Source organism: Homo sapiens, chromosome 10 (genome assembly GCF_000001405.40).
Source record: "Homo sapiens chromosome 10, GRCh38.p14 Primary Assembly".
NCBI classification, from domain to species: Eukaryota; Metazoa; Chordata; class Mammalia; order Primates; family Hominidae; genus Homo; species Homo sapiens.
Window position 1 is genome coordinate 6298518 of NC_000010.11, and position 12913 is coordinate 6311430.

At 43.8% G+C, this 12913-nt stretch overlaps 1 protein-coding gene across 1 annotated transcript in view, besides 1 other annotated feature; it reads left to right on the forward strand.

Moving 5' to 3' along the window:
- Window positions 1-12913, forward strand: part of PFKFB3 (6-phosphofructo-2-kinase/fructose-2,6-biphosphatase 3) — a 181717-nt gene that overhangs the window by 153597 nt on the left and 15207 nt on the right. The window lies entirely within an intron of this gene.
- Window positions 370-1569: an enhancer, noted in NCBI's record as "P300/CBP strongly-dependent group 1 enhancer chr10:6340850-6342049 (GRCh37/hg19 assembly coordinates)". NCBI's record gives its function as "activates an origin of replication core promoter dependent on BRD2, BRD4, P300/CBP, MED14 and CDK7 cofactors, with strong dependence on P300/CBP, by STARR-seq in HCT116 cells {active_cell/tissue: HCT116}" and the evidence as "EXISTENCE:reporter gene assay evidence [ECO:0000049][PMID:35650434]".

Consider the following 12913-nt stretch of genomic DNA (forward strand, 5'->3'; position numbering starts at 1 on the left):
ACACTTCCTGGATAATTTTTAAATATTTTTCAGAGATGGGGTCTTGCTATGTTGCCCTGGCTAGTGTTGAACTTCTGGCCTCAAGCAATCCTCCTGCCTCGGCCTCCCAAAATGTTGGGATTACAGGTGTGAGCCACTGCACTTGGCCTTGTTCAGTGCATTTTCAGGGCATCCTGAAAGGCCAGGCCTGGATCTTGGGCAGCTGTTCAGGAGCATTCCAGCTGTGAATGGTCCTGAATGTCTTCCTGGCCTTCCAGATGGATCTCTAACGCACCCCAACGCAGGTGCTCCCTGAAGACATACCGGATCTGTTGGTGCGGAAAAAGAATGCAGCATTTGGTGGCTTATAGTGCTGTGCCAACTATTGCTTAGGTAATTTATATGACATCTTATTTTCTCCACCTGATTCTAAGCTCCTTGAGGACACGTCTGGTTCATCTCTGTTGGCTGCATAGCCTAAAACCCATGCTGGTGCATCCTGATTTCATTTCCTTCTCGGATGTAATGAAAGCACTCAAATGATATTGATTGCCTCCTCTTTAGGTTGACAAATAAAACCTTTAAATTCTGTTTTTCCTGGTGTTTCCTTTGTAGGATTGGAAACGATGGTCTTGATAGCGCTGTGGTTAGCAAAGCATTAATGGCTCACTCTCCTAGGGGAGACACGTCAGTTGATACCATGCACTCTGCATGCAATTTTCAGAAATGGTGTTTGCTTTTTTCAACGTTGGTTGTGTTGCTGCTCTAGACGAACCAGCTTCTATTCCTGTCTTTACTCAGAGGTAGGTAGGATTCTTCCCCAGGCACCTACAGACCTGACTAGGATTTACAGGCAGGGGTGAGTCAGCTGACCCAGGAGGGTGGCATCCCATAGTTAGGACAGAGAGAGACTCACTGGCACGTGCTGGGTCCCTGCGTTGTCCTAACGTGCCTCCTTGCAGGTAGCATGGCTGAGTCAGTGTGCCGTGAGTCACAGGCTGCGGGAGGTGAACTTGAGCCTCACTCCGGCATTGATCTTTCGCAGGGATATATTGTTAGTTCCCGTCTGTTAAGACCGATAAAGGGTAATAATTTACTGGCCTCAAGTTTGTCTTCTCTTTGATTTCACCAAATCTTCTCCTTATACAGGAATTGCTTGACCTTGACTTTTCAGGAATTTACCCAATTTTATACTCTTGGCGTCTCCTGGGCTTAGAACCCCTTACCTCCAACCTTGCTCCCTGGCTAACTTCTACCCTTCCTTCAAAGCTCAGCAGAGATGGCACCCCCTTTCTGAAACAGTCCCCAGTTCCTGGGAAGAGTGAAGGCCTGAAGCTGTGTTGAGGGTGGCACTTAGCCCCTGGTTTGGAGCTCCATGTTTCCTTCACTGTCTGCTGAACATTTTAAGGCGTCGATTTGGACTTTCCTAGGCTTGCATTCCCAGAGCCTAGTGCAGTGCCTGTTCAGAAGACTTTTTTTTTTTTTTTTTTTTTTTTTTTTAGTGAAGAGGGAGGAATGTTAAGCCTCACCAAGTCTGATTATGCTAAGATCACTTAAATTTTTTCTGCCTTTTCAGAATACCCATTGTAGTTAGGGTTAGTACCCATGGTTTGGCACTTACTGGTTCTGTGGTTGTTGGGTGCCTTGTTTGTCTCTTCGGGCGAGATGCGAGTCACTCCAGGGCAGCATCTGTTCCTCATATTCCTCTCACATTCTTTAAAGCCTCCCTGTGTGCACTCAAGCCACACAATGAACCTTCCTGCCTTTGCCCACAAGGCTGAGAACTCTTCAAAGTGAGACTGTGTCTTACGCATTTTCACTTCCTCCATCATTTGACACAGGACCTGGCACGTAACAGATGTTTAATAAATACTTGTATTTATTGAATAGGAATAGGTAGTAGATTCTAGAGACATAGTGAGCTCAGCTCAAGTTCAGTTGCATCAGGGAAGGCTCCCCCATGCCCCCGGCAGCTCCCTCTCTCTGTGCCTATGCAACCTTTAGCAGCATGAGCTGCCTTGAAAAGTCAAAGCCAGCTTTTCCAGAAAGCAACTCAGCAACTCTCTCCTGGGGCCAGAACTGCTCCGAAACGGGAACAGCTGTGTATATTCTTTGATCGTTAGCAGGAAACGATGTGTCGTGTCTCAAAGCACCTTTTCATGCTGCTTTCTTATTAACTCCACCCAGAAGCCCTTGCCTTAGCAAAGCCAGTCTCGCGAGGCACCGTGGAAGTCCAGAGTTGAGTGCAGCTGGGTTTGATTCATTCCTGGGCTTGATTTCTGGAATCCTCCTAGATTCCTTCCTGGGTTTGAGTTCTGGAAGCCTTGGTTTCTTGAGGCGATTATGCTGTAGGTACTAGAGAGAAGCTACTGCCTTTGAGAGAAGGGTAATTACGCAGGATTTGAAAGGAGACAGGAAGCTGTGGGTGCCAGAAATAGAGGAATCTTGTTCTTTTATTTTTGGCAACATCCAGCAAGGTGGGAGGACACCTGAGGGGAGTGCCTTTCTGGTGCACCATGGAGGCTGGTCCGTAACAGTGGAAGCTGCCATCTTGCAGAAGATTCCTCTGCCCAAGCTTGGCATGGCCAGACTTCGTGGGCCATGTGAACATGAGATGATATCTTGCTCTGTGTGCCTTCCTATAATTTGGGGGGAGATGTTGACTAGGAGGAGGCATCCACCATTGGGCTTTTCATTATCTCAATGGAATGGTGACTTGGAATTGACTTTGACTCAAGGAAATAAAGTAAGATGAGGATTTACACATACCTAGATTAGGAAACTAACCTTTATACCTAGTACATATGTACACCTGTAAGGCATCTGGTACAGTCCCTGGGTGCTTCAGGGACTTCATAAAGGTGCATTTCCTTCACCCTTACTTATAAATAATGGTCGATGCATATTCTTAGATCATTTGAGATACATCCTTAAAAACTGTTGAGCATTGATCAAAATTTGTTTTGGAAATAAACTTGTTTTTAGTGCCCCAGAGAAGCACATTGTTTCCTAAAGTGAAGAATCCTCATTGAAGATGAATTGTGCTAATCTGGATTTTCAGGTTTTTTACTTACTGCAATAACAGATAGATTGAGGAAAGTACCCTTTTATTTTCTCTGGAAAGCACTGATGGATGTAACTGATGACAACTTGACCCAGTAGGGCAGTTCGTCTGCCCTCAAGAGCAGCTCAGCTCAAAGGGCGGTGTGGGGATCGCCAAGTGTGATGGAGGCAAGTCCCAGGTGAAAGGGAGCTCTAATTCATCAGGATTCCTCTATCTTTATAAGAGAAGCTAATTTCAAATCACTTCCTTCGTTATGACTAAATTTCAGGAAATGAGGATCACATTATTCCAGTGCAGAGAACTGGGCTGAGAGTCACATGCTTTATTATCTGCTCTGATTAATGACTAACCAACCTCGTAAGTTCCCCACCACACAGGTTAGTGACTGGATGATCATTTTGCTTTATCCACTTCCTAACAGGAGGAAACAGAGAAGTGAGCTAACTTTGTTATTTATACGAAGGTAACATACTTGCGATTTTTCTTTTCTTTTCTTTTTCTTTTTTTTTTTTGAAACAGAGTCTTGCTCTGTCACCCAGGCTGGAGTGCAGTGGCATGATTTTGGCTCACTGCAACTTCTGTCTCCCAGGTTCAAGCGATTCTCCTGCCTCAGCCTCTTGAATAGCTGGGATTACAGGTATGCGCCACCACATCCAGCTAATTTTTGTATTTATAGTTGAGGTGGGGTTTTACCATGTTGGTCAGGCTGGTCTCGAACTCCTGACCTCAGGCGATCCACCTGCCTCGGCCTCCCAAAGTGCTGGGATTACAGATATAAGCCACTGCCACCGTGCCTGGCCAGTTTTTTTTTTTTTTTTTTTTTTTTTTTTTTTTTTTTTGAGACGGAGTCTTGTTCTGTTGCCCAGGCTGGAGTGCAGTGGTGCAACCTTGGCTCACTGCAACCTCCACTTCCTGGGTTCAAGCAATTCTCCTGCCTCAGCCTCCCAAGTAGCTGGGATTACAGGTGCCTGCCACCACACCCAGCTAATTTTTGTATTTTAGTAGAGACGGGGTTTCACCATGTTGGCCAGGCTGGTCTCGAACTCTTGACCTCAGGCAATCCACCTGCCTCGGCCTCCCAAAGTGCTGGGATACAGGCATGAGCCACCGTGCCCGGCCCATACTTGTGGTTTTTCTATACCTATCTTCCTTTCTGGTGGGAGCCCAAAATAAAAATATGTGTGTGTATACACACACACACACACACACACACACACACATATACACATACACATATATATATATATTTGTGTGTGTGTGTGTTTTATGTGATCTTTCTTGGCTTTTGCATTGAGAAAGTCATCTTTGAAATTTAGAAAAACTGTCAGACTGTTGGAAGGCACCTTGGACATGGCGTCTCCCCAGTGCCTTCTTTATGCATAGAAAGGGCGCTCGAGGTAACGGGATGTCATGACTCTTGTGAGATAACACAGGAGCGGAGCAGAGATGAGAACTCAGGCCTCCTGTCATCTGTCCAGGGCATGTGGGTAAGATCAAGCGTAGGACTGGCTTTATAAAGCACAAATATTTGTTTGTCAGCAACTGTTTGTTTATTACTTCATTTTTGTTTTTCTCTTCTAAAATTCACCCTAAACTCTTTTATGATTTATGGACTGCTCTAAGCTTACAAGACTGATAAATATGTATATGCTGTGTGAGGAATACATTGATTTATTTACAAAGGTAGCAGAATCCTAATGCAAGAACAAACAAGAAAAAGAAAAAGAAAGAAAGATGTAGACTGGTTTTATTCATAAATAGAGAAGTGAAAATTCTAATAAAAATATGAGCACATGGTGCAATGTAGCAACATCCTACCATGACAAAATAAGGTTTATTCAGAGTGCAACGATGGTTTCATATTACAATTTTTATTAGTTTAAGTATTACATAAGTGGGTCCAGTTTAAAAAAAAATGACAATCAATGCTGAAATAGCCTTTATTTACTCTTGATGAAAATACAAAAATCAATGCCGGGCACGGTGGCTCACGCCTGTAATCCCAGCACTTTGGGAGGCCGAGGCGGGTGGATTACGAGGTCAGGAGTTCGAGACCACCCTGGCCAACATAGTGAAACCCCATCTCTACAAAAAATACAAAAATTAGCCGGGCGTGGTGGCAGGCGCTACTCGGGAGGCTGCGGCAGGAGAATCACTTGAATCCCAGAGGCAGAGCTTGCAGTGAGCCGAGATTGCGCCACTGCACTCCAGCCTGGGCAGCAGAGTGAGAGTCCATCTAAAAAAAAAAAAAAAAAGAAAATGGAAAAATGAAGAAAATGAAAAATAAGTGTTGATAGTGAGTTCCAGCCAATAGAACAGAACAGGAGTGAAGTGTCCCATCTCTTAGCTGAAGCTTCTACGACATGGATGCACCCCACAGTCTCACCTGTGGCTGGCTGGACCCAAATGAAAATGAGAGTGCAGGGGACGGCAGAGACACAAGATGAAAGGATCCTGGGTCCCTGAGTCACCATGTGGAGAAGCCATCAACACAGAGTGCTGCTTTGATCTGTTTTCTAATCAGAGTTTTAGTGCCCCAGAGACGCACCTTGTTTCTTAAAGTGAAGAATCCTTGTTAAAGACCAATTGTGCTAATCTGGATTTTCAGATTGTTTACTTACTGCAGTAACAGATAGATTTAAATATTTAGATAGAAAGCTCCCTTTTATTTTCTCTGGAAAGCACTAATGGATGTAACTGATGACAACTTGACCCAGCAGGGCAGTTAGTCTGCCCTTTAGGGAGCAGATCTAAACCTGTGTAACCTGAGACATGGTGGATTTGGGGTCATGAGTCCCCACAGCTCAGCACACCCTAAGAATCCATCTATCTTTCTGTACAGCATCACGTATCCCTTCTGCAGGCCTATATGCCAGTCCAGCCATCCTCTGCGGGCTACTACTACCGTTAGACATTAAATGTATCTAGTATGTTCTTTTTATCTCTTAGCCATCACGCCTGGCTAATTTTTTGTAGTTTTAGAAGAGACAGAGTTTCACCATGTTGACCAGGCTGATCTCAAACTCCTGATCTCAAGTGATCTGCCCTCCTCGACCTCCCAAAGTGCTGGGATTACAGGCATAAGCCACCGTCTCTTACTATTCTAAATTAAAAATATTAGGAACTTTTTTTTTTTTTTTAGTAGAGATGACATCTCACTATGTTGCCCAGGCTGGCCTTGAACTCCTGAGCTCAAGCTATCCTCCTGCCTCACCCTTGCAAAGTGTTGGGATTACAGTCATGAGCCACTATCTCTTACTATTTTAAATTAAAAATATTAGGAACTTTTTTTTTTTTTTTTAGTAGAGATGACATCTCACTATGTTGCCCAGGCTGGCCTTGAACTCCTGAGCTCAAGCTATCCTCCTGCCTCGGCCTTGCAAAGTGTTGGGATTACAGGCATGAGCCACCATCTCTTACTATTTTAAATTAAAAATATTAGGAATTTTTTTTTTTTTTTTTTTTTTTTTTTAGTAGAGATGACATCTCACTCATCTCACTATGTTGCCCAGGCTGGCCTTGAACTCCTGAGCTCAAACTATCCTCCTGCCTTGGCCTTGCAAAATGTTGGGATTGCAAGCGTGAGCCACCATCTCTTACTATTGTAAATTAAAAATATTAGGAATTTTTTTTTTTTTTTTTAAGTAGAGATGACATCTCACTATGTTGCCCAGGCTGGCCTTGAACTCCTGAGCTCAAGCTATCCTCCTGCCTCGGCCTTGCAAAGTGTTGGGATTACAGGCATAAGCCACCATCTCTTACTATTGTAAATTAAAAATATTAGGAATTTTTTTTTTTTTAGTAGAGATGACATCTCACTATGTTGCCCAGGCTGGCCTTGAACTCCTGAGCTCAAGCTATCCTCCTGCCTTGGCCTTGCAAAGTGTTGGGATTACAGGCGTGAGCCACCACACCCAGCCAATTTGTAGGCATTCCTACATTTATGAAATTTGTTTTCTTTTCAAGCATGCTTAGCCGTTCCTTGCACTCTCTCATTCCTCGTTCTTGCTTTTAAGCTCCTGATTTATTTCCTTAAGCACTGAAGTATTGGCAAGTGGGATTCTGGGGCCTGAGGTTCTGTTTGCTTGCACACAGAGGGCTTTTCTTTCTTTCGTGTTTAAAAATTCTTTTACTGTGAGCTGCTGACTTTCCTGGTTACTTTATCTGTGGGACTTCTTTAAGGCCTGGTTGAAGCACCTTAATCTCTCCAGAGAATATCTGCTTCTGTCAGTTGCCTAGGAGGACTACCATCCCTGAACACTTTAAACGTAAATATCCAAATGGGTCTTTTCAGATCACACAGGTAATGTGAATTCAGACTGGAAATCTGCCTGGAACCTGGTTTGAGGTAACAACTTCTAAGGGCAGGTTTTTTTCCCCTTCTCCCCAGAGTGCTGAGGTCAAGACAAGCAGGTTTTGTTTCCTTTATTTTTTTGTTATTTACATTGGGTTAATTTCTCCTTCCTCTTTTTTATTTTTAGAGACAGGGTCTTGCTATGTTGCCCAGGCTGGAGAGCAGAGGCTCTTCACAGGTGTGATCAGTGCTCATGGCAGCCTCAAACTCCTGGGCTTAAGTGATCCTCCCGCCTGGGCCTCATGAGTGGCTGGCACTCCAGGTGCGCATCACTGCACTTGGCCTTCTCATTCCTCTTATTCTGAGGATTTGCCCTTTGGGCAAAGGGGGTTCCAGTTTTCTATGATGATTCTAGGCTTTGTCTCCTGTCCCTGAACCCTATGCATCTATCAAAGCAGAAACTCAGGATGCAAGCTGGCTTGGATATTGCATTACCTCTCAGAGATGCATTTGAAAATATCTGTGGAATGGTTAAGTGGTATTTTGGGGGCATTTAGTCCTCAGATGGCTGGAAACAGGCTGTGTCTTCAGCCTCTCTCTGGGTTTGTGGGACAGGCCAGAGGCCATCATCACAATGTGGTGGATGGCCGTGGGCTCAGATCAACAAGTAGCTGAAGTCAGGGTTGCTTTTCAAAAATGTAACAGATTTCCCTACATATTAGATATTAAAAAAAGAAATGTATGAAAACCCAGAAAGATGAATTAAGATTTGAGATAGTGGAGGAAGGAGATAACACCTTTACTCCAGACACAGAGCCTCTATTCAACATAATAACTATTCATCACGACTTCCCCCATGGAAGGCCGTGTCCTGGGCCCTGCAAAGGAGAGCAGGTCTCAGGGACCTGCCAAAGATGTAACACACTCATGTCTCTTTCATGAGGCTCTTCCAGTAGGATGTGAGACAACCAAGTTACGGGGTCATAAGTAGTGACAGGACAACTTTCTCAGTTCATCAGTGTAATGTTTAGTTTTACGTATTAACTTCATTGGGCCAATGTGCCCAGATATTTGGTTAAACATTATGCTGAGTGTTTCTTTGAGGGTGCTTTTGGGTGAAATTAACGTTTCAATTAGTAGACTTTGAGTAAAGCAGGCCACCCTCCCTGATGTGGGTGGGCCTTGTCCAATCAGTTGAAGACCTCACTATAATAGAACAAAAGACTGACCTCCCCTGAGCAAGAGGGAATCCTCCAGCAGGCGGCCTCCAGGCTCCATCCACAGCATCAGCTCTTCCTGCTTCTACAGCAATGGCCTCGAACCTGAGCTGCAACATCAGCTATCCTGGGTCTCTAGGCTGAGGCTCACGTTGCAGATTTTGGACTTGCCAGCCCCCAGAATCCCATGAGCCAGTTCATTATAATAAACCACACACACACATGCATGCATGCAGACACACACACATGCATGCGTACTACACACACACACACACACACACACACACACACACACACTCACCCTACTGGTTCTGTTTCTCTGGAGAACGCAATCAGGATGTAGATGGCTACCAGCAGTGGCCCCAAAGAAAGGAACATTTCTATGTACTGAGAATGAATTAGGACTATAGACTGTAGTTTAAAATATCTCCTTCTCTTTTTCCTTCCTTCCTTCCTTCCTTCCTTCCTTCCTTCCTTCCTTCCTTCCTTCCTTCCTTCCTCCTTCTCTCCCTCCCCCACCCTTTCTCCCTTTCCTTCTTTCTTTCTGCCACAATGCCATACTTGCCCCACTGTGGCATGATGGTTGTCTGTATTGTCCCGATTGAGAATCTGAGGCTCCACCGTCTGGTGCCACAGCCTGAGGTGATGAAAATCCTTGCAGATGCATCCAGTGGGAAAGGTATTGAGGAGTGCCGGGGTTTGAATGGGTCACCCAAAGTTCATGTGTTGGAAACTTAGTCCTTAATGCAGCGGTGTTGAGAGATGGGACCTTTAAGATGTGATTAGGTTATGAGGGCTCTGTCTCATGAATGGATTAATGCCATTATGCCAGGAATGGGTTAGTTGTCATGGGAGTGATTTTCTTATTAAATAACAAGTTCTGCCCCCTTCCCCATTCCTTTCTCTCACGCTCTTGCTTTCTGCTATGGGATAACACAGAGAAAACCCTCACCAGATGCTGGCACCTTCATATGGGACTTCATAGCCTCCAGAATTACATTTCCTTTCTTTATGAATTAGCCATTTTTGCGGTATTCTGTTATAGCAGTTTAAAATGGATCAAGACAAGGAGAAAGCATCATTGTTTGATTTGGAAGCCACTGACTTCAAAACAGCCTTTTCAATACACTTCACCCACTTCTCTCTAAAATGCAGGGAAGGCCAGGTGCGGTGGCTCATGCCCATAATCCCAACACTTAGGGAGGCCAAGGCAGGAGGATCACCTGAGGTCAGGAGTTCAAGACCAGCCTGGCCAACATGGCAAAACCCCATCTCTCCCAAAAATACAAAAATTAGCTGGGCATGGTGGTGGTCTGTGCCTATAATCCCAGCTACTTGGGAGGCTGAGGCAGGAGAATAGCTTGAACCTGGGAGACAGAGGTTGCAATGAGCCAAGATCATGCCACTGCACTCCAGCCTGGGTGACAGAGAGAGACTCTGTCTCAAAAAATAAATAAAATAAACAGGGAAGAAAACAGCTTGAATGTACCTCATTATAGTTAAGACCACCAAGTGCATTTAGACTCCTTTAATTTATTCAGATAATAAAAACAGGCGCTAAAGGCATGTTCTCTTTTAAAAAAAACATTTGCTGCCTACAGTTAGGCTTAATTCTAAACTTCCTATTTATTATACTGTGAGTTAATCTGTTACACCCATGACAGCGAGCGTTATTATTAAATCATCACCATGCATCAGCCAGGACCATGTCTTTACCTTCTTGATCAGTGTAAATCTTTCTTGTTTCTGGAATCCCCTGGAAAGTCATTTTATAAACATCATTTTAAAGATGCCGATAGGCCACCCCATAAAGTAGTCTTGCCAAAAAGAAACTAGCAATTTATGAGACACACAAAGAATAGAAGAACAAGTTAAAAGGCACACGGGAATGTGCCAACAAGTCCATGGGACTTTTGGGATGCTCTACAGGACAAACAAACTGATTTCAACAAAACACTGCACAAATAAAAAAAAGAGAGGGCGGGTGGGATGTCCAGTCTCCATACAGGCACTTGAGGCAGATCCCCAATTACAATGTGAGAAACCTAGTTGGATTCTGATTCAAAAAAATTGTAAAAAATGAAAACCTAAATCTACACATTTGTGACATTTATGCGACAAACTAGAAAATTGCATACCAACTGGGTTTTTGATGACGGTAAGGCATTATTGGCCATTTTTGGGGTGTAATAAGAGTATTATAATTTTTTCGCTGGGCGTGGTGGCTGACGCCTATAATCTCAGCACTTTGGGAGGCCGAAGTGTGTGGCATGTGCCTGTAATCCCAGCTACTTGGGAGACTGAGGCAGGAGAATAGCTTGAACCTGGGAGGCAGAGGTCAGGAGTTTGAGACCAGCCTGGGCAACATGGCGAAACCCCGGCTCTACTAAAAATACACAAATTAGCCAGGCATGGTGGTGCATGCCTGTAATCCTAGCTACTTGGGAAGCTGAGGCAGGAGAACCTCTTGAACCCAGGAGGTGGAGGTTGCAGTGAGCTGAGATTGTGCCACTGCCCTCCAGCCCAGGCGACAGAGCAAGACTCCATCCCCGCCCCTCACCCCCGCCGGCCACCAGCCAAAAGAGTATTATAATTTTTTTAAAGAATAACTTTTTAGACATATCGCCATATTTATGGATGAAATCATAGGCTGTCTTGGATTTTTGCTTCAAAATAATCAGGAATGGGGGAGAGGACAGTGTAGAAAGAGCCACGTTTGTCATGAGGTGCTGATTGCAGAGACCGGGTGATGGGTACACCAGCTCATGATACTGTGCTGTTTCCATAAATGTTTCACTTTCCTGAATACAACATTTTTTAAAAATGTGTCAATTCTCACAATCTACTGATGCAGGAAATGAATTACTTTATATGACTCTATTCACTTGAATAGATGTAAGCTAATATATTCTGAACAGCTTGGATTGACGGGCATTAGCTGTTTTCGCATAAATCATGGAATTTCTCCCATGACTCAGGGTAAGGTGCTGGGGCTGCCAGAGGACCTGCCCCAGCAAGATTTTTCTCAAGAGCGAGACTCCATCAGCCCAGGCAGACAGGAGCAGGTTCTTGGCCGGTGTAGACAGCAGCAAACAGCAGAAGGGAAGCCATTCTCACTACATCCTCCCTGCAGTAGCCACAGCCAGGCCCTTAGGAGGAGCAGTGACCGGGGGTGTCCAGAAACATCCTGTCCCTGGATGGAAACTAGGTCTCGTTGGGATTTTTTTTTCTTTTTTTGCCGTGTTAGTTAGGAAATTATTTATTAATTTACAAGGCAGGTTTTATCTCAGCCAAGGTGGGAAATGGTGTCCCTGTCCCTCCCAAAGCACAGAGCACAGAAATGAGGCTGTTTACATCGCGAGTCTCTGCGCTGGTGTTTAAGTCATTAAAAAGATATTCGAAAAAAAAAGTCTCTAAATACAGGTTTATGGAATATTTCATAACAGCTTTAAGGAACTATCATGGTACACTGGGAAAGTCACCCATATTGCAGGATAGATTTCTTCTGTTGGCTGACGAGCATTTGTTTATAGTCGGCCTTGACTCTACTCTACCACAATTTTATATGTAGTTCTTTTATTTTTTTAAAAGCAACATTTTGGGACAAAATATCGTGAACAAATAAGGAATACTACTATATTTGTGAAACGCCTTGTTAATTTCCAAGTGATATTTTAAATCTTGAATAAGACATGTATGCTCGTAAATAAAGAGGGAAAAGAAATAATTAAATCGATGTTCATAAGAGCTTCTCAGAAAATAAGAAAGAGATAAGTGATAGAACTATAATCTACAATCTACCCTAATAGTATATCTGCATCATTTCTTAAACTTTGTTTAGTATTTTAACATGCTGTTTCTTATCATATGTGAAGAATGCTGTGAGGTAGCAGGTCAATGTTTTGCAGATTAATAAACTGAAGTTAAAAGAGAAAAAAAACCCATGGAATTTCATCTTCTTAGAAACAGATGTTGAAATTAAGATTCAAAAAAAGCTAAGTTTTCTGCCTCACTCTTCACTAATGGGAATGAACAGAGACAGAACTGAAGCGCACGCTTTGTGGTTTCACAGCCTCTCCAGTCATATCACGACTGCTTTTCATCCTGCCCTTGACAGAAAAGAGACATTCACAGCCCTTTCTCAGATAGGAAAATGACATTATCAATACAGGAATGTGATTTCCTGTATTGATTTCCAATTTCCCATGCTCCCCTATCTCCCTGCATGGGCCGCCATGGAAAATCACCAAAAGCACTCCTCTGATCCCAGGTAGTTCTGTTCCTGCCACCTGTGGCCTTTTGCTCTCCCTAATTCCTCCTTTTCTGGCAGAACCTCTCAGGTTCCCTACGGAAGACCTA